Genomic DNA, 18,605 nt, shown 5'->3' with positions numbered 1-18,605 from the left:
TTTACATGCCCGCAATTTTTTACTGTATCTTCAACTTAATCCTTAACCAATCTTACCCATTTCACCTAAGTGTTCTAGCTAAATTTTAGAATCCCTCCTTCTTCTTTAACTCTAATGGTTCTACCTTAATGCAAAAAAAAAAAAAAAAAAAGACTTATTTCTCTTGTGGATGACTACATTTATGTCTAAATAAGTGTTTGTTTTGTTATAGTAGTTACTAAGCAAATATTTTCAAATAAAAGAAACTCCATAGGTGTCTTCAAAGCTGCTTCTTTATTTAGGAATAAGAGAAATTAAGAAATCAAGAATTTTTATGATTTTGTGGATATGAACTTAGTTGTAAGAAATAAAAACAAAATTTTAAGAATTTTTTTTTTTTTATGTAACAAGGAGTCAAGAAGTACAGAATCCAAGGTTTGTATGTCAACTCAGTTTTCGTAGAAAGAATTCAGGCTTCCTCTATCACTGCTACAGGAGGACCACCATAGTCTCCAGTATTATACACTTAGGTAACAATGACTAAGCAAGAAGCAAAAAGTCAGTGCAGTGTTATTTTTCCTTGTAATATTGTAATGAGAAGAGCCCATTAGTTTGTGGTGTTCAGGTGACAACTGCTTGATATAAGTACACTTTGATAAACTGATGCTTATGAAAGTCCTCCCCCTTGCTTCTCTCTGTTCCCTCCCTCCTCTCCTAATATCTCAGATACCCTGAGTGTGTTATGTAATTAAGTGACCTTTTGACATGCTGTGACAAATTTAGGAAAACAAATTTTCTTTTCGGTAACACCTATGACTGCCGATTAGATTTCATATCCAACCAGTTTGGTGAACAGATACAAAATGTAGCCTCTCTTTAATTAAAAAATAATTTTCACCTTTAACCTTGCTGTTTCTTCTATTTTCTCATCATCACCAACCTCTGGCTCATGAAGCCCATCTTCCCCATTGATGAGAGCATTTATAAACTTTACTCTCCTATATTTGGTGTTAGTCATGTCATTAGTGTTGCTATCTAGTACATTTATGTGAGGAAGACAAAGGAGCAGGTGGCTGGTTTCTTTGGAGTAGATAGAAACAACTATTCTCACTTTTTCCCCTTTATAACCAGGAAGAACTACAAAGGTCCTCATTAGCTTCTCCTTATTTCTTATTGGCTGTACCATATGCTCACTTTATGCCAATAGATGGCAAAGGAAACAAGACCGCTATGATTGACTTAGCCTGATCATGATTAACTCTTTCAAGGCTTATCAGAGAATTGGAAGAAAAAAGGAGGAAGTTCTGTGAATTAAATAACTAACAATGCCTTATACAATGGCCATGTAAAAAAGATTGGCAAATTTAGCAAATAAAAGTACAGATTGTCCAGTTAAATTTGAACATCAGATTAACAAAAAAGTAATTTTTAGAATGAGTATATAGTTATTTAGTACAAGTATATAAATATATACTTCTACTAAAAATGATCATTATTCAATGCTGATCTGTGATACGGTTTGGCTGTGTTCCTACCCAAATCTCATCTTTATTTGTAGTTCCTATAACCCCCACATGTCATAGGAGGGGCCTGTGGAAGGTAATTAAATCATGGGAGCAGTTACCCCCATGCTGATGTTGTTGCGATATTGAGTGAGTTCTCATGAGATCTGTTGGTTTTATAAGGGGCTTTTCCCCCTTTGCTCAGCACTTCTCTCTCCTGCTCCTGCTGTCATGTGAAGGACATGTTTGCTTCCCCTTCCACCATGATTGTAAGTTTCCTGAGGACTCCTCAGTCATGCAGAACTGTGAGTGAATTAAATCTCTTTCCTTTATAAATTACCCAGTCTCGTGTAGCTCTTTATAGCAGTGTGAGAATGGACTAATACAATCTGAAACCCACATTCAACTGAACTTCCTGTATTTTACCTGGCAAACCTATGTTTAACCAAACTGTGAAGAAGCAAATATTTGTTATTGTTCCATCCCAAATGGTGTTTCAGGGCACTCTTATTCCATGAAATATTCATCACCAAAGTACACCAAAGTCTTTTCACTGACACAGAAGTTTAAGTCTCCCATTACAGTCTCTTTGCAAGCATCCCCTCTGCTTCTATCATTCTGTATTCAGAAATTTTCTTTTGATCCTGAGCAGTAAGGTATGAAGAAGAAAGCTTAGGAAGAGAAGAGCTAGAACTAATTTAAACTTGGTTGACTTTCTATCTATGTGACCATGCCTATGCCACTGCTTAAAATGCTATGACTATATCTGAGATTAAAGTAGCTTAAGATATTTTTAGAAGATGGCATGATAATGTATTATATTATTATATGCAATAAATAAGTACTAAGGAGTCTTTTATTCTGAAGCTTGCTAATCAGACAACTTCATTTTGCTGAGGCATTAACTGCTCTCTTCCACTCACAAAATATATGTTGGAAATTCTTAAAAAACAATATTGTTAATATTGTCAAACAGATAATTTTAAACTTCATAGTAGCTTCCAGATGACTGTATTGTCAGTCAACTCATCAACTCTTAAAACACACAAAATTTAGACAATTACCTGCTCTACTTCTGTTCAGTATATGCTACTGCCTGCTTTCCAAGGAATAGTACAACCATTTAACAGTTCCAAAGAGTATCATGTGACCAAATTTACCTTCCCGTTGGATCCCCAATAAAGATTCAAGGAAGAACAGTCACAAAGTTTGCAGATGTTTCTAACTTCATCCTGTAATATTTTGGAATAGAGGGAGTTTTCCATGGGCTGAGTCCCACTTGAGCTAATATTAATGAATCTTAGAATATATTATTATCTTAGAATATAATATCTAAGTGTGTTCCAACACAAGTGTAAATGAGTATTCTCTTATATCAAGGAGGTCTAACAGATGGCTATCAAAGACACTGCTATTTAGCTAAGTTTCTGTTACCACATCAATGTAATAGAAGAGCATGATCAACCTCTAAGTTTTACCCCATCTGGAAGCAGTTTATCTCCAAGCTCTATAGTTTTTAAAGATCTTTTTTAAGTCACTATAAAGACAGAATGAGAGAGAGAAAAAGAGAGACAATTTCCCTTCTGAACCATGCAAAAATGTGGCCTTGAAGTCAGATGGTTTTAGGTTTAAAAATAAAAATTTGAGACACAATGGGCAGTTAACAGGGAAATATAGCTCTTCAACCAGTCATATAGAAAATATGTTTACATTTTTGGCCTTACCTACCTTAAGATTTTTTTGCTTTTTGTTTTCATTAAATATCATATATCTAAAGGCTATATTAAAACTTTACATAGTTTTATCTTATATGCATAACTAAGGGAAAGCCTACAGTAGCCACTAAAAAAGAGCAATACTGAAATTATTTTGCCATTGTAGTGATCTGCTTCATATTGTAAGTATAGACATAACTTGGTGTATCTAATAAGTATACTATTATAACCCACATGGCCATATTGCTATTAAAATTTTGAAATTTTTATTTTTCACACAAAATTCAAGTGAGCCTATTTGTAGTTTAACTCATAAGACACCAAAAAAAAAACCCACAAAAAAAACCAAAAGTGCATGTTTCAATTTTGAAAGATCTTTAAAATAAATTTCGATGGTGCATGGGGCAACATTCAGTCATCAGAGAATATTTCTTATAAAATACAATGAGTTAATTTATAGTCAAGATTTAAAAAGACACTTATATTTTGCTTCTAAAATATTATTTCCGAGTATAATCTTTGAAAATTGAATACTTAGAGTAAATGCTCACATTTATAAGAAACATTTAAATTTAGTGTCAGTCCGCCTTTACATCTCTATTCAAACCAGCAAAATGAGATGAGGTCATTCCCTTTCAAAAAGTGTGAAAACTCAAAGCATTAATTTACTGTCTTATTTATTCTTTTAATTCAAGATTACTAAAAATGACCCTTTGCCTTCATTAAAATTGGTTACTTAAATAAGCATTGCAATTAAATTCTAACCACTGAATGTCAATTACTTGTAGATTAGGAATACATTTATTTTTATCACTAAGGAAATTGATTTTGTATGTCTTTTCAAACACAATGAGATCTAAGCATTTATCTCATTTGGATAAGATGAGAGTCCAAGTGCATTCCTCAAGTACATTTCTTTTTATATTTTTTTTCTTAGCTTTGAATATTATGGGTTTTTTTTGGTGTGTTTTTTATTTTATTTATTATTTATTTATTTATTTATTATTATTATTTTTTTTTTGAGGTGGAGTCTCGCTCTGTTGCCCAGGCTGGAGTTCAGTGGTGCGATCTCAGCTCACCACGACCTCGGCCTCCCGAGTTCAAGCAATTCTCCTGCCTCAGCCTCCCAAGTAGCTGGGACTACAGGCACGCACCACTGTGCCTGGCTAATTTTTGTATTTTTAGTAGAGACGGGGGTTCACTATGTTGTCCAGGATGGTCTCGAACCCCTGACCTTGTTATCCTCCTGCCTCAGCCTCCCAAAGTGCTGGGATTACAGGCGTGAGCCACTGCACTGGCCTTACGTTATATTTGTGGGCCAGTTGTTTTAATGTATTTTCATATATATGGCTGTTATGGTACTCTAAGTGTAAATTAAAACATAATTACATTTCTTGTCATTTCTTTACAACAACTCTCTGACAATGCTTTACCCTTGGATATAATAATGATATTAAAAAGATGCTTCACTTATGTTTAATAGAATTTTTTGAAAATACTTCTAGAATTATCTTTAATGAGCTGTTACTTTCATGCAGCAGTTACAGATAGAATATTTCTTTAATGCAAATTTTAAAAGAATCAAAATATAATTTCTTAGAGCTAATTATTCCCAGAAAATGCTTTGGAATGTGTTTTGAAAGTTGTATTAAACAGTGAACAAAGCACAATTTATTTTCTCCAGTTATAAATTGCTCACTTTATAAAAGATTTATATTCAGGGAGTTCTAGAAGATTTTTATAAAAGCATGGAAGAAAATAAGAAAGGGTAGGATGGAAAATGATTCAAGGAAATGGAGAAGAAAACAATCTAATTCACTTGGGGAATGACATTTAAATTTAGAAATATTTTCACTGATAATTTGCTACTTTTAAATTCTGTAGACCAGCATCTATTAGCTAAAACATCTTTTAGTTTTCTCCACAAATATGATCTATTATATTTGGTATTTTTTTTTACAAGTAACCAAAAACTCCAGAGTCAAGATAGCTAGCTGATAATGGTATTTATTATCTCACATAATAAAAAGTTATGCTGGTGAATTTATATCCAAATAATGTCACTAGGAGCTCATATTCTTTCCATCTTTTTATCCTCCCAACCTCAGCAGGTCTATTAGTTCACCTCTTGGCTTCCAGATTGCTGCAGTAACTCCAAGGATTACAACCACGTGCACTATTGTTCGGAGGCCAAAAAAAGAAACACTCTTTCTTTTTGTGTCAAAAAGCTCATTAATAACTAAAATACATTTCCTAGAAGCACAAAAAATTTATCCAATGCCTCATGGGTCATAATTGCATTGCATTAGCTATCAAGTTTAATTATTGGAAAGGGAGATTCAAATTATTATTATTGTTTTAGTTTAATTAAGATTCACTTTTAATGGCTGGGTCTGGGGACAATGTTTTTTTCTGAGGAATGTAAACAATTATGAACACACAGAAAAATCAAGGGGCAATTAACAAGGGGGAAGGGGAAATTGCCTTTTGGATAAGTAACACCCATCTACAGCCGTGCAATTGTTAATCATGCAATTAATAAAAAATAACAATAAAAATAAATCAAAGTAACTCAAAAGTATAAATTTTTTTAAGTCCAGCTGTTACGTGACATAATCATTTCACCAGGGCATATCCTAATAATCAAATCACATTTCCAGCTTTAGTTCATGTTGTATTTTTGAAGCATGATGACTATAAACTTATGTTCAGATGAAAACATTTTTCCTTCCTAATCAGAGCTATTTAAAGAGATCAATTTTTTTGAGATGTGTAGGTCAAAAGTACTTCTAATCTTAGGAGAACTTCTGAAAGAATTACTTCAAGAATTCTGAAAGAAAAGAAAAAGGAAGAAAAGAAAAGAAAAAGGAAGAAAAGAAAGGAAAGGAAAAGAAAAGAAAGAAAGAAAGAAAAGAAAGAAAGAAAGAAAAAGAAAGAAAGAAAGAAAAAGAAAGAAAGAAAGAAAGAAAGGAAGGAAGGAAGGAAGGAAGGAAGGAAGGAAGGAAGAAAGAAAGAAAAAGAAAGGAAGGAAGGAAGGAAGGGGAGAAAGAAAGGAAAGAAAGAAATAAAGAAAGAAAAGAGAGAAAGGAAGAGAAAGAAAGAAAAAGAAAGAAAGAAAGAAGGAAAGAAAAGAAAGAAGGAGGAAGGAAGGAAGGAAAAGAGAGAAGGAGAAGGAACTAGAATCTTTTTCTTTCTATAGCAGAGAACTTCCTTATTTAGTCTGTTTTCATTTCATCTTTTCATTTCATGTTATTTCATTCCACTCCTTTTGTTTCCATGCCCTCTTTAACTCTCCTTTCTAAATGTGTTTGTGCCCATGGCATATACAGGGTGCTGTGCTAGACCTACTAGAGGGGAAGGAGCACTGTATGGGTAAAGTTCTTAGAGAATAGAGGCCAGTGCTGTGGTTCATGCCTGTAATCCCAGTGCTTTGAGAGGCTGAGGTAGAAGAATTGCTTGAGGCCAGGAGTTTGAAACCATCCTCGGCAGCATAGAGAGACCCCAATCTCTACAATATATTTTTTTAATTAGCCAGGCATAATGGCATGTGCCTATAGTCCTAACTAGTTGGGAGGATCACTTGAGCCCAGGAGTTCAAGGCTTCAGTGAGCTATGATTGTGTCACTGCACTTCAGCTAGAGTGACACAGTGAGACCCTTTCTCTGAAAAAAAAAAAAAAAAAAAAGTAAAAAGTTCTTTGAGGATAATATGAACCTCAAGAATCTTACTATCTCCAGGACAGAGGTGGACACATAAGGAACCACACAAAATTCAAGGCAGAATGTCATAAAAATGAGGAAAGGGAAACTTTATGAGTAGGTAAAGATTGAATTAATAAAGAAATATTTGGTTTGGACAGTAGTCTACCTAATACGTTTTATCTTTGGCACCAGACCAATACTTAGCTAATAAAAAAAGATAATGATAATAAATAATGATAATTTTAGGTAGAGGTGAGAATTATTCAGTAATTTATTCAATTTATGTGCTAAACATTGTGCATGTATTACCTCATTTAATCCCACAATTACTTGAATTAGTTGCTATTTTTCATATTTTACAGGGGAGTAAAGTTACAGTTCAAATTATAGAACACCTTGCCAGGAATTACAGGACTGGCATCTCCAGAAATTATTCCAAAGCTGATATTCTTATCAATTAGACTTTTCTGAAACCCATGGTTGATATTTAATTCATAATTTGCAATTAAAATTAACTATGCATTTTATGATAGGCAAAAATTCTTGATTTGGAAGGAAACTGAAAAAATATATTATGCCTACTTCTGTTTTTACATAAGGACTGCATGTTATTTAAATCTGTTGGGAAGTGTTATATAGATTGACACAAAGGAACTTTATTTCCAAGAACACTATAGTTGTTTATCTTCTCAACTACCTGGTATGGCATATTTTTCTTTAGTAATTTCCTACCATAGTAAAAGTGACTTTTTATTGTTAAAGGTCACTGACTTGAAGAAACCTTGTTTTTTATTTACAGAAGGAAGTCTAAGACTACTCAAAGCCTAACAATAGCTAAATGCAAAACACAGTTCTGAGGATTATTTATAGCAGAGTAAATAAAGCTCTTAAGCTTGAAAGCATGATTTACATGTTTCAACAATTAATTTGCAATGTAAGGTTGAAAAGTACATATATTCCATGCATATTTGAGACATCTTGGGGCTATGGTACAAAACTAGATTGGACACCAAAATGTGTTAATGTAAGAAGTAATGATAGTAAAGCAGTTTTGAATAGTAACTCTTGAAAAACGTGGCCCAGGCTGTTATTATAAAGGGCAAAGTTTAAAACAAAGTCCTTTGAATATATCCTGAAAATAACTTTGCTGATCTCAAACCATAGGCCTTTTTCAAGGTTAAGATTTTGTATGGAAATTGTTAATGTGAAATAATCATCATTATAATAATTAACTGATTACTTGATATGAGCAAGTCACCAGATAAATATAATGTATAATTTCCTTTACTTCTCACAATAGTCTTCTAAAATAACTAGAAATGTTTTCCTCATTTTGAGATATTTTAAAAAGTAAAACTTAGAAATAATTGTGTCAAAATAACACATTGTAACTTGTGGAACAGGAGTCAGAGCCCAAGTCTGAAGAACCAGAAGACCTTAGAACCTATCAATCTTTAGTTTCTTTCTTTATGAAAAAATGGGATTTCTCAAATTCTCTTCAGATTTACTAAGGAGTTCTTGTTTTCTATGAGAGATGTAAACCAAAATTAGAATTCTAAGACCCAGCTGACTGCATGGACTTCTCTTCTTGGCCAAAGGCATTCCAAAGAAATCTGAAAACTCATTCAGGCCATGGTGAGAAGTGGGAGTTGGACATGTTTCCTCATACTCCCTTCCTTTGGAATTCAGGCACAACTGACCAGAATTAACATAAAAACAAAGATCTTAAGACTGACAGACAGATTCTTTGTAGCAATAAGATACTAAATTCCATCATAACTCTAGTAGAGCATCACATGATAGCAGGTCCTGAAGGATATAAAAGTATTTACCTCAAAATATATTTATTTGAAATAGTTTATTTTTTTGTCCTTTTTTATTTGGATCTTTTATTTTAAGTTCATGGGTACATGTGCAGGATGTGCACATTTGTTACATAGGTAAACGTGCGCCATGGTGGTTTACTGCACAGATTAACCCATCACCCAGTATTAAGCCCAGCATTCATTAGCTATTCTTCGCAATGCTCCCTCAACAGACACACAGGTGCCCAGTGTGTGTTCTTCCCTCCCGTGTGTCCATGTGTTCTCATCATTCAGCTCACTTATAAGTGAGGGCACGCAGTGCTTGTTTTTTCTGTTCCTGAATTAGTTTGCTGAGAATAATGGTTTCCAGCCCTGTCCATGTCCCTGAAAATTGCAAAGAACATGATCTCATTCCTTTTTATGGATTCATAATATTCCATGTTGTATATGTACCACATTTTCTTTATCCAGTCTATCACTGATGAGCATTTAGACTGATTCCATGACTTTGCTATTGTAAATAGGGCTGCATTGAACATACATGTACATGTGTCTTTATAATAGAATGATTTATATTTCTTTGGGTATATACCTAGTAATGAGATTGCTGGGTCAAATGGTATTTCTGCCTCTAGGTCTTTGAGGAATTACCACTGTCTTCCACAATGGTTGAACTAATTTATACTCCTACCAACAGTGTAAAAGTGTCCCATTTTCTACACAACCCCTCCAGCATCTGTTTTTTGGCTTTTAAATAATAACCATTCTGACTGGTGTGAGATGGCATCTCATTATGGTTTTGATTTGCATTTCTCTAATGATCAGTGATGTTGAGATTTTTTTTCATATGTTTGTTGGCCACATGTATTTCTTCTTTTTTTTGTTTTTTGTTTTTTGTTTTTGTTTTTGTTTTTCTTTTTTGAGATGGAGTCTTGCTGTGTCACCAGGCTGGATTGTGGTGGCACAATCTCGGTTCGCTGCAACCTCCGCCTCCCAAGTTCAAGCGATTCTCCTGCCTCAGCCTCCCCAGTAGGCTGGGACTACAGGTGTGCACCACCATGCCCAGCTAAGTTTTGTATTTTTAGTAGAGATGGGGTTTCACCATGTTGGCCAGGATGGTCTTGATCTCTTGACCTCATGATCTTCCTGCCTCAGCCTCCCAAAGTGTTGGGATTACAGGCATGAGCCACCACACCCAGCCTGTCTTCTTTTTAGAATTATCTGTTCATATCCTTTCACTACTTTTTAACAGGGCTATTTTTTTCTTGTAAGTTTAAGTTCCTTGTAGAATCTGGATATTAGACCTTTGTCGGATGGACTGCAAAAATTTTCTCCCATTCTGTAGGTTATCTGTTCACTCTGATGATAGTTTCTTTTGCTGTGCAGAAGCTCTTTAGTTTAATTAGATCCCATTTGTCAATTTGGGCTTTTGTTGCGATTGCTTTTGGCATTTCAATCAGAAAATCTTTGCCTGTGCCTATGTCCTGAATGGTATTGTCTAGATCTATTTCTAGGGTTTTTACAGTTTTGGGTTTTACACTTAAGTCTTTAATCCATCTTGAGTTAGTTTTTTGAGTATGGGATAAGGAAGAAATCCAGTTTCAATTTCTTGCATCTAGCTGGCCAGTTCTCCCAGCACAATTTATTAAATAGGGAATCCTTTCCCCATTGCTTGTTTTTGTCACCTTTGTCAAAGATCAGATAGTTGTTGGTGTGCAGTCTCATTTCTGAGTTCTCTATTCTGCTCCATTGGTCTACGTGACTGTCCTTGTACCAGTACCATGCTGTTTTGGTTACTGTATCCTTGTAGTATAATTTGAAGTCAGGTAGCATGATGCCTCCAACTTTGTTTTTTTGCTTAGGATTGTGTTGTCTATTCATGTTCTATTTTGGTTCCACATGAATTTTAAAATAGTTTTTTTATAATTAACTGAATAAAGTCTGTGGTAGTTTATTGGGAACAGCATCGAATCTATAAATTACTTTGTGCTGTATGGCCATTTTCATGATACTGTTGCTTTTTATTCATGAGCATGGAATATTTTTCCATTTGTTTGTATCCTCTCTGATTGCTTTGAGCAGTGGTTTGTAGTCCTCCTTAAAGAGGTTCTTCACTTATCTTGTTAGTTGTATTCTTTGGTATTTTGTTCTTTTATAGCAATTGTGAATGGAAGTTCATTCATGATTTGGCTCTTGGCATGCTTGTTGGCGTATAGGAATGCTAGCAATTTTTTGCATATTGATTTTATATTCTGAGACTAACAAAATTGCATATCAGCGTAAGAATCTTTGGGGCCAAGACAATGGGGTTTACTAGATATAGAATCATGTCATCTGCAAACAAAGATAATTTTACTTCCTCACTTCCTATTTGGATACCCTTTACCTTTTTCTCTTGCCTGATTGCCTTAGTCAGAACTTCCAATACTATGTTGAATAAGAGTGGTGAGAGAGGGCATCCTTGTCTTGTGCTGCTTTTCAGTGGGAATGCTTCCAGCTTTTGCTCATTCATTATGATACTGGCTGTGGGTTTGTCATATACAGCTCTTGTTATTTTGAGGTATGTTCCTTCAATATCTACTTTATTGAGAGTTTTAAATATAAAGGGATGCCAAATTTTATCAAAAACCTTTTCTCTGTCTATTGAAATAATAATGTGATTTTGTCTTTAGTTCTGTTTATGTGATGAATCACATTTATTGATTTGCTTAAGTTGAACCAACCTTGCATCCCAGGGATAAAGCCAACTTGATTGTGGTGAATAAGCTTTTTGATATGCTGCTGGATTCAGTTTGCCAGTATTTTATTGAGGATTTTTGCATCGATGTTCATCAAGAATATTGGCCTGAAGTTTTTTTCTTGTTGTTTTTTTGTGTCTCTGCCAGATTTTGGTATCAGAATGATGCTGGCTTCATAGAATGAGTAAGCAGGCAATCTCTCCTCTTCAATTTATTGAAATTGTTTCAGTAGAAATGGTACAGCCCTTCTTTGTACCTCTGATAGAATTCTGCTATGAATCCGTCTAGTCCAGGGCTTTTTTTTGGTTGGTAGGCTATTTATTACTGCCTCAATTTCAGAACACATTATTAGTCTATTCAGAGAAACAATTTCTATCTGGTTCAATCTTGGGAGACTGTGTGTGTTCAGGAGTTTATCCAGTTATTCTAGATTTTCTAGTTTATATGCATAGAGGTGTTTACAGTATTATCTGATGGCCGTTTATATTTCTATGGGGTCAGTGGTAATATTCTTATTATTTCTGATGGTGTTTGATTCTTCTCTCTTTTTTTCTTCATTAGTGTAGCTAGCTGTCTATCTATTTTACTATTTTTTTTTCAAAAAATTTGCTTCTGGATTCATTGATTTTTTGAAGGGTTTTTCAGGTCTCTATTTCCTTCAGTTTGGCTCTGATCTTGGTTATTTCTTGTCTTCTGCTAGGTTCGGAGTTTGATTGTTCTTGCTTCTCTATTTTAGTTGAGATGTTCACTTGAGATCTTTCTAGCTTTTTGTTGTGAGCATTTAGTGCTATAAATTTCCTTCTTAACACTGCTTTAGCTGCATCCCAGAGTTTCTGATACATTGTCTCTGTGTTCTCATTAGTTTCAAAGAACTTCTTAATTTCTGCCTTAATTTCATTATTTTCCCAAGAGTCATTCAGGAGCAGGTTGTCCAATTTACATGTAGTTGTGTGGTTTTGAGTGAATTTCTTAATCTTGAGTTCTATTTTATTATTATTTTTTGTTATACTTTAAGTTCTGGGATACATGAGCAGAACGTGCAGGTTTGTTACACAGGTATACATGTGCCATAGTGGTTTGCTGCACCCATCAACCCGCCATCTACATTAGGTAGGGACTTAGACTCCTACACAGTAATAGTGGGAGACACTATGTGTTTTTGTAGAGGCTGGTAACAGTTTTTCTTTTCCATATTTAATTCTTCCTTCAGGAGCTCTTGCAAGACAGGCAGGTCTGGTGGTGACAAATTCCTTCAGCATTTGCTTGTCTGAAAAGGATCTTATTTCTCCTTCACTTATGAAGCTTAGTTTGGCCAGATATGAAATTCTGAGTTAAAAGTTATTTTCTTTAAGAATGTTCAATATTGGCCCCCAATCTCTTCTGGCTTGTAGAATTTTTGCTGAGAAGTCCACTGTTAGTCTGATGGGTTTCCCTTTGTAGATGACCTGGCCTTTCTCTCTGGCTGCCTTTAACATTTTTTTTCTCGTTTTGATATTGGAGAATCTGATGATTATGTATGTCTTGGAGTTGATCTTCTCATAGAGTATCTTACCGGGGTTCTCTGGATTTTCTGAATTTGAATGTTGGCCCATCTTGCTAGGTTGGGAAAGTTCTCCTGGATGATATCCTGAAGTATGTTTCCCGTCTTGGTTCCTTTGTCCCCATTTGTTTCAGATATTCCAATCTGTCATAGGTTCAGTCTCTTTACATAATCCCATAATTCTTGCAGGTTTTATTCATTCCTTTTCATTCTTTTTCTCTATTCTTGTCTGCCTGTCTTATTTCACAAAGATAGTCTTCAAGCTCTGAGATTATTTCCTTCACTTGGTCTATTATGCTATTAATACTTGTGATTTCATTGTGCATTTCTCATGTTGTGTTTTTCAACTTCATCAGGTTGGTTATATTCTTCTCTAAACTCACTATTCTGGCTTTCAGCTCCTCTATTGTTTTATCATGATTCTTAGCTTCTTTGCACTGGGTTACAACATTCTCACTTAGCTCAGTGAAGCTCATTATTACCCACCTTTTGAAGTCTATTTCTATCAATTCAGCCGTCTCTGCCTCAGCCCAGTTCTGTGCCCTTATTGGAGAGGTGTTTTGGTCATTTGGAGGATAAGAAACATTCTGGCTTTTTGAGTTTTCAGAGTTTTTGCGTTGATTCGTTCTCATCTTTGTGGGCTTATCTACTTTTGATCTTTGAGGTTTCTGAAATTAGAGTGGCGTTTTTGGGGAGTCTTTTGTCGTAGTTGTTGTTTTCTGTTTGTTTTTCTTTTAACAGTCAGACCATTCTACTGTAGGGCTGCTGTGGTTTGCTGGAGTCTGCTCCATTCCCCATTCACCTTGGCTTCTCTTGCACCTGGTGGTATTACCACTGAAGTCCACAAAATGACAAAGAGGGCAGCCAGCTCCCCAACTCTGGAATATCCATCCTGGGGGGCACCAACCTGCCACCCGCCCACAGGCACCTGCAGGAGGTGGCTGGAACCCCAGCTGGGAGATCTCACCTACTCAGAAGGGATGGGATCAGGGACCGACCCAAAGCAGCAACCTGGCTGCTTCTTGGTAGAGCAGGCATGTTGCACTGGGAGGGACCCTTTTTTCCCATCTGTCTATAGTCTCCACAGCTGGCAGGCTGGAATGGCTAAGTCTATGGACTGTCAGAGATGGTGGCTGCCCTCCCTTCAGGAGCTCCCTCCCAGGGAGAGATCAGAGCTTTGTCCCAGAACAAAGGTCCCCGGCAGTGAGGAGGAGTGGTTTGGGGCCCTGGTTAAAGAAACAGTCTGGCCATGATCTAGCAAGGCAGCTGTGCTGCTGTGGTGCCCCCTCCTGGTGTGGACCATCTGCACTCTGCACAGTCAGCAGGCTGGCACAGCTGAGTCCCCTGAACCACAGAGATGGCGGCCACTCTTCCCCCAAGGAACTTGGTCCCATCTCAGGTGGACTTCAGCCTGCTCTCACTGTCTGGCTGAGATTCCAAGCCAGTGGGTTCCTACCCATGAGGTGTCATGGAAATGGGGCCCACAGAATGATGCTTCTTGGTTCCCTAAATTCAGTCCCCTTCCTAGGAATATATACAAATGGATTTTCTGCCTTGGCAGTGATCTGGGGGCCAGAATATGTAAAACTCTTTGGTCTCTGCATGCCTGGGTGGCTGCCCTGCTGGGATTCCACACAGCTCCATGTATCAGAACCAAAGTCCTGGATGTGTGAGCTCACAAGGGGATCTCGTGATCCTCGGGTTGCAGAGATCCATGGGAGAAGTGTGGTTGGCTTCCCAGGCAGGGTCACACAATCACTCACCACCTCCCCTGGCTGTGGGTGGGTGTTCCCTTGGTTCCACGCCAATCCTGGGTGGACCATGATCGCCCCACCGCTGCTTCTCCTTGATCCCCATGGGTCAAGCTGCTTGCTTATTTATTCCCAATGCAAGAACCTGGATACTTTAGTTGAAGGTGCTGAATTCACTCTGACATATTTTAGAATTACCCTGCACAGCTGTCTCTTTTACAGGAAATGTTTTGCATTTTGCTGAGATTTTTTTTTACTTACTGGTTATTCTAGATTCTGGAATCTTTTAATGGTTTGCATAGGAAATATTTGCCCTTGAGTGCTTCTAATGGTGGCCACTTGTGAGACTTCATCTACATAATAAGATCCTTGATGTTCACAATGCTTATCTTAATTCAGACACTCCATTCTATTATTTTCAGGTGTTTAGATAATAACTCTTTCACTCAATTACCAATCAGGAAATCTTTGAATTTGCCTATGACCTGGAAGCCCCCTGGCTTCAAGTTGTCCAGCCTTTCTGGACCAAACTAATATATAACTCACATGCACTGTCTTATGTCTCCCTAAAACATAAAACCAAGCTGTAACCTAACTACTGTGGACACATGTTCTCAGGACCTCCTGAGGCTGTTTCATGGGTCATAGTTCCCACATTTTGCTCAGCACGAATCTCTTCAAATATTTTACAGAGTTTGACTTTTTTCATCAACAGAGAAGAGAAGGCATATGGTGACAGGGCCAGCAACCTAGCATTGTCCCCACTTATCTACATATCTAATGTAATTTCAATATGAAAGACTCTTTTTTCCAATAATTGTCATTACCTCCAGTTTGCTGATGCCTAGTATTTGTTTTTGCAAAAAATATTTTTTGATAATTAGAAATAATATTTCAAATAAAAACACAGATAATTCAATTTATCAAGTACCAGCTATTTGAAAGCCATTATGTGTGCCAATCAACATTTTATTTTCCAAACAAGTGAGTATTAGTATCTCTTTTTTTGATAGAAATGGCAAAATGAGACTCATACAGATCATTTTGCTCAAGATGACATGACCTAACTCAACATCGTTTTTTAAATAGTTTTGGTGATTCACCACACTCTGAGCTTTGGGCTAGTTTGTGAGATTTCAGTAATGCAAAAGAGCACAGGTTTCCTGCCACCTTGAGAGGCATAGGTAATCAGTGGAAAGCTTATTCTACCTCTTTTACCCTGGCCATGTTGTTTCTCCTTCATCAATATTACTCAAAGCTTCACATATAGGCATAAAGGAAGGGTGTAGGTGTTTTTCTTCATATATAAATACATCCAAATGTAGTTGAAGAGCATGTGGATCTATAAAATGCAATCTGGTTCAGGAAAGAAAAGTACTGTTTGATTCTTCACAGTATTAGTCTAAAAACTATCAGGCATATTCCTCCTTTAAAAGTAGCAGAACTGTTTGTTTTGGTTTTGCTTTTAAACAGTTTCAAAGAAATTGAAATGGAAAGTATTCAATTTATCTCACATGGTAACAAGTAAGATTGTTGTATATTATTACATTTTAAATAGGATTGAAGTAACTGTGAGACACCAACCTTGACAAAATATAAGGTTGGTTTTGACATAAGGGTGCATTGATAATGTGTTATTCTATCAGGAAAGCTTACAATTTCTTTTTATCACCAAATGGGCACTTCATTAAATTAAATGATGCTATAGAAAAATGAAGTTGATCAAATGAAATGTTTCATAATAGCATCTTGGTCCAACATTTTGAACATAAGTTTTATATTTCATGTGTATAAATTATCTAGAAACTGTAAAAGGACAAATAAAAAGTTTATCTTTATTATGTGAATGTTTACTTTATATAATATTCTTTATGCAATTAAATTTAAGTTTACCTTTTGATATTCAGAAATATTGTCAAAGAAGTGTTTATTTTCTGCTTAAACCAAAGACCTGCCTATAAAGATTAGGTTTCTTTTTATTTGTATGACCAGGAACTCTTTCATATCTGAGCTCTAGTTTATTAAAATGTAAGCACAGCCTGCTTTTATTAAAAGTTTCTTTTTCTTTACACTACATTTAACCAAAAAGAAGTTTTAAAAACTCTTATGTAATTTGGTTTTTGGAAACTCTTTCTCTTCGTCCTGCACAAATGTGCTGTATATTATAAATTTTCTTTCTATGATGAATGAAATGTTCTATATTTCTGTGACATTCAATATGGTAGTGACTAATCACATGTGGCTTTTTAGCCCTTTAAATGTGGCTAGTGCAGCTGAAGAAATGAATGTTTAAATTTGAATTAATTTAAATTTAAAATTAAATAACCATATATAACTAGTGGCTGCTGTATTAGATATACAGATATAGAATATAATAAATACATCATACATATATACATATGCACACACATGTACCATGGATTATAATCTTTTATTTTAGTTGCTTAGTTGAGTGCAAATGTGGTTTTTCAATTTCATTTAAATTTTATATTACTAGTGAGGTTGAACATTTTCATATGCTTTTAATTAGTACTATTCTATCTTTTGTCTACTGATCATTATATCTTTTGTACCCATTAACCCATTAATATTAATAATAATAGAAACGTCTTCAAAGGAGACAGAAAGCAACATTAATTGACAGCCTGTATATGGACACAGCTAAAGTATGCTCTTCATTAGGACAATTCATTGATTAAAACAAGGGAAGACCTGCTACTATTGGGAGAAAGTAAACCAACTTATCCAGGAGAATAAAGATGTCATGTTGTAGAATGAAGAGAAAATAATGGTGTTAGTAATTTCTTCTTACCTTTTTACAACTTAAGATACACTGTTTTAAATTTGTAAGTATACAAGACAGTATAATTAGCCACAGGCACAAGGCTGCTCAGTAGATTTCTAGGATCTATTCTTGTTGCATAACTGAAACCTTGCAACCTTTGGCTAATACCTTCCCATTGTTCCTTCTGTTCAGCCTTGACATTCACCATTCTATTCTCTAATTCTATGAGTTGAATTACTTTACATTCCTCTTGTAAGTAGGATCATGTAGCATTTGTCCTTCTGTGTCTGGCTTACTTAACTTTAGAATAATATCTTCCAGATTCATTTATGTTGCCACAAATGGTGAAATTGTCCTCCTTTTATAGGGCTGAATAATATTATATTGCCGTATATGCCACATTTATCTATTCATCCATTGATGTATATTTATTTTATGTTGCTTTCATATCTTGGCTATTGTAAATAATGTCGGAATGAACTTGTTAGTGCAGGTATCTCTTTGAGTTCCTGATTTTCCCTTTATTTTTTTGAAACAGCGTTTTACTGTGTTGCCCAGGCTGGAGTATGTTGGCACAACCATGGCTCACTATCACTTTGACCTCCCAGGTTCAAGCAATCCTCTCATCTCAGCTTCCCTAGTAGCTGGAACCACAACTGTTTGCCACCACACCCAGCTAATTTTTAATTTGTTTGTAGAGAAGGGATTTCACTATGTTGCCAGGGCTGATCTCAAACTCCTGGGCTGAAGCAATCCTCCCACCTCAGCCTCCCAAAGTCCCAGGATTACAAATGTGAGTAACTATGCCTGGCCTGATTTCAATTTTTTTTTAAATATATACACTAAAGTGGATTTGTGGATCATATGGTAGTTCTATTTTGAAATTTTTGAGGATGCTTCATACTCTTTTCACCATGTCTATATCAATTCACATTCTACTGAATAGTATACAGGATTCTCTTTTCTCCATATCCTCTCCAACACTTGTCATCTTTCATCTTTTTTATAATAGGCATTTCACCTATTAAATCTCATTGTGGTTATAGCTCATTGTGTTTTTGATTTGAATTTCCCTGACATCTCCACTGT

At 35.6% G+C, this 18,605-nt stretch overlaps 1 annotated feature.

The window, feature by feature from the left end:
- Positions 13,934-14,435: an enhancer, noted in NCBI's record as "NANOG hESC enhancer chr4:32911350-32911851 (GRCh37/hg19 assembly coordinates)". NCBI's record gives its function as "activates a minimal SCP1, AML or CMV promoter by ChIP-STARR-seq in naive H9 embryonic stem cells {active_cell/tissue: H9 hESC(naive)}" and the evidence as "EXISTENCE:reporter gene assay evidence [ECO:0000049][PMID:30033119]".

This window comes from Homo sapiens, chromosome 4 (assembly GCF_000001405.40).
Source record: "Homo sapiens chromosome 4, GRCh38.p14 Primary Assembly".
NCBI lineage: Eukaryota > Metazoa > Chordata > Mammalia > Primates > Hominidae > Homo > Homo sapiens.
The sequence above is the reverse complement of the archived record's forward strand: the minus strand, read 5'-3'. Positions and strand labels throughout refer to the sequence as shown.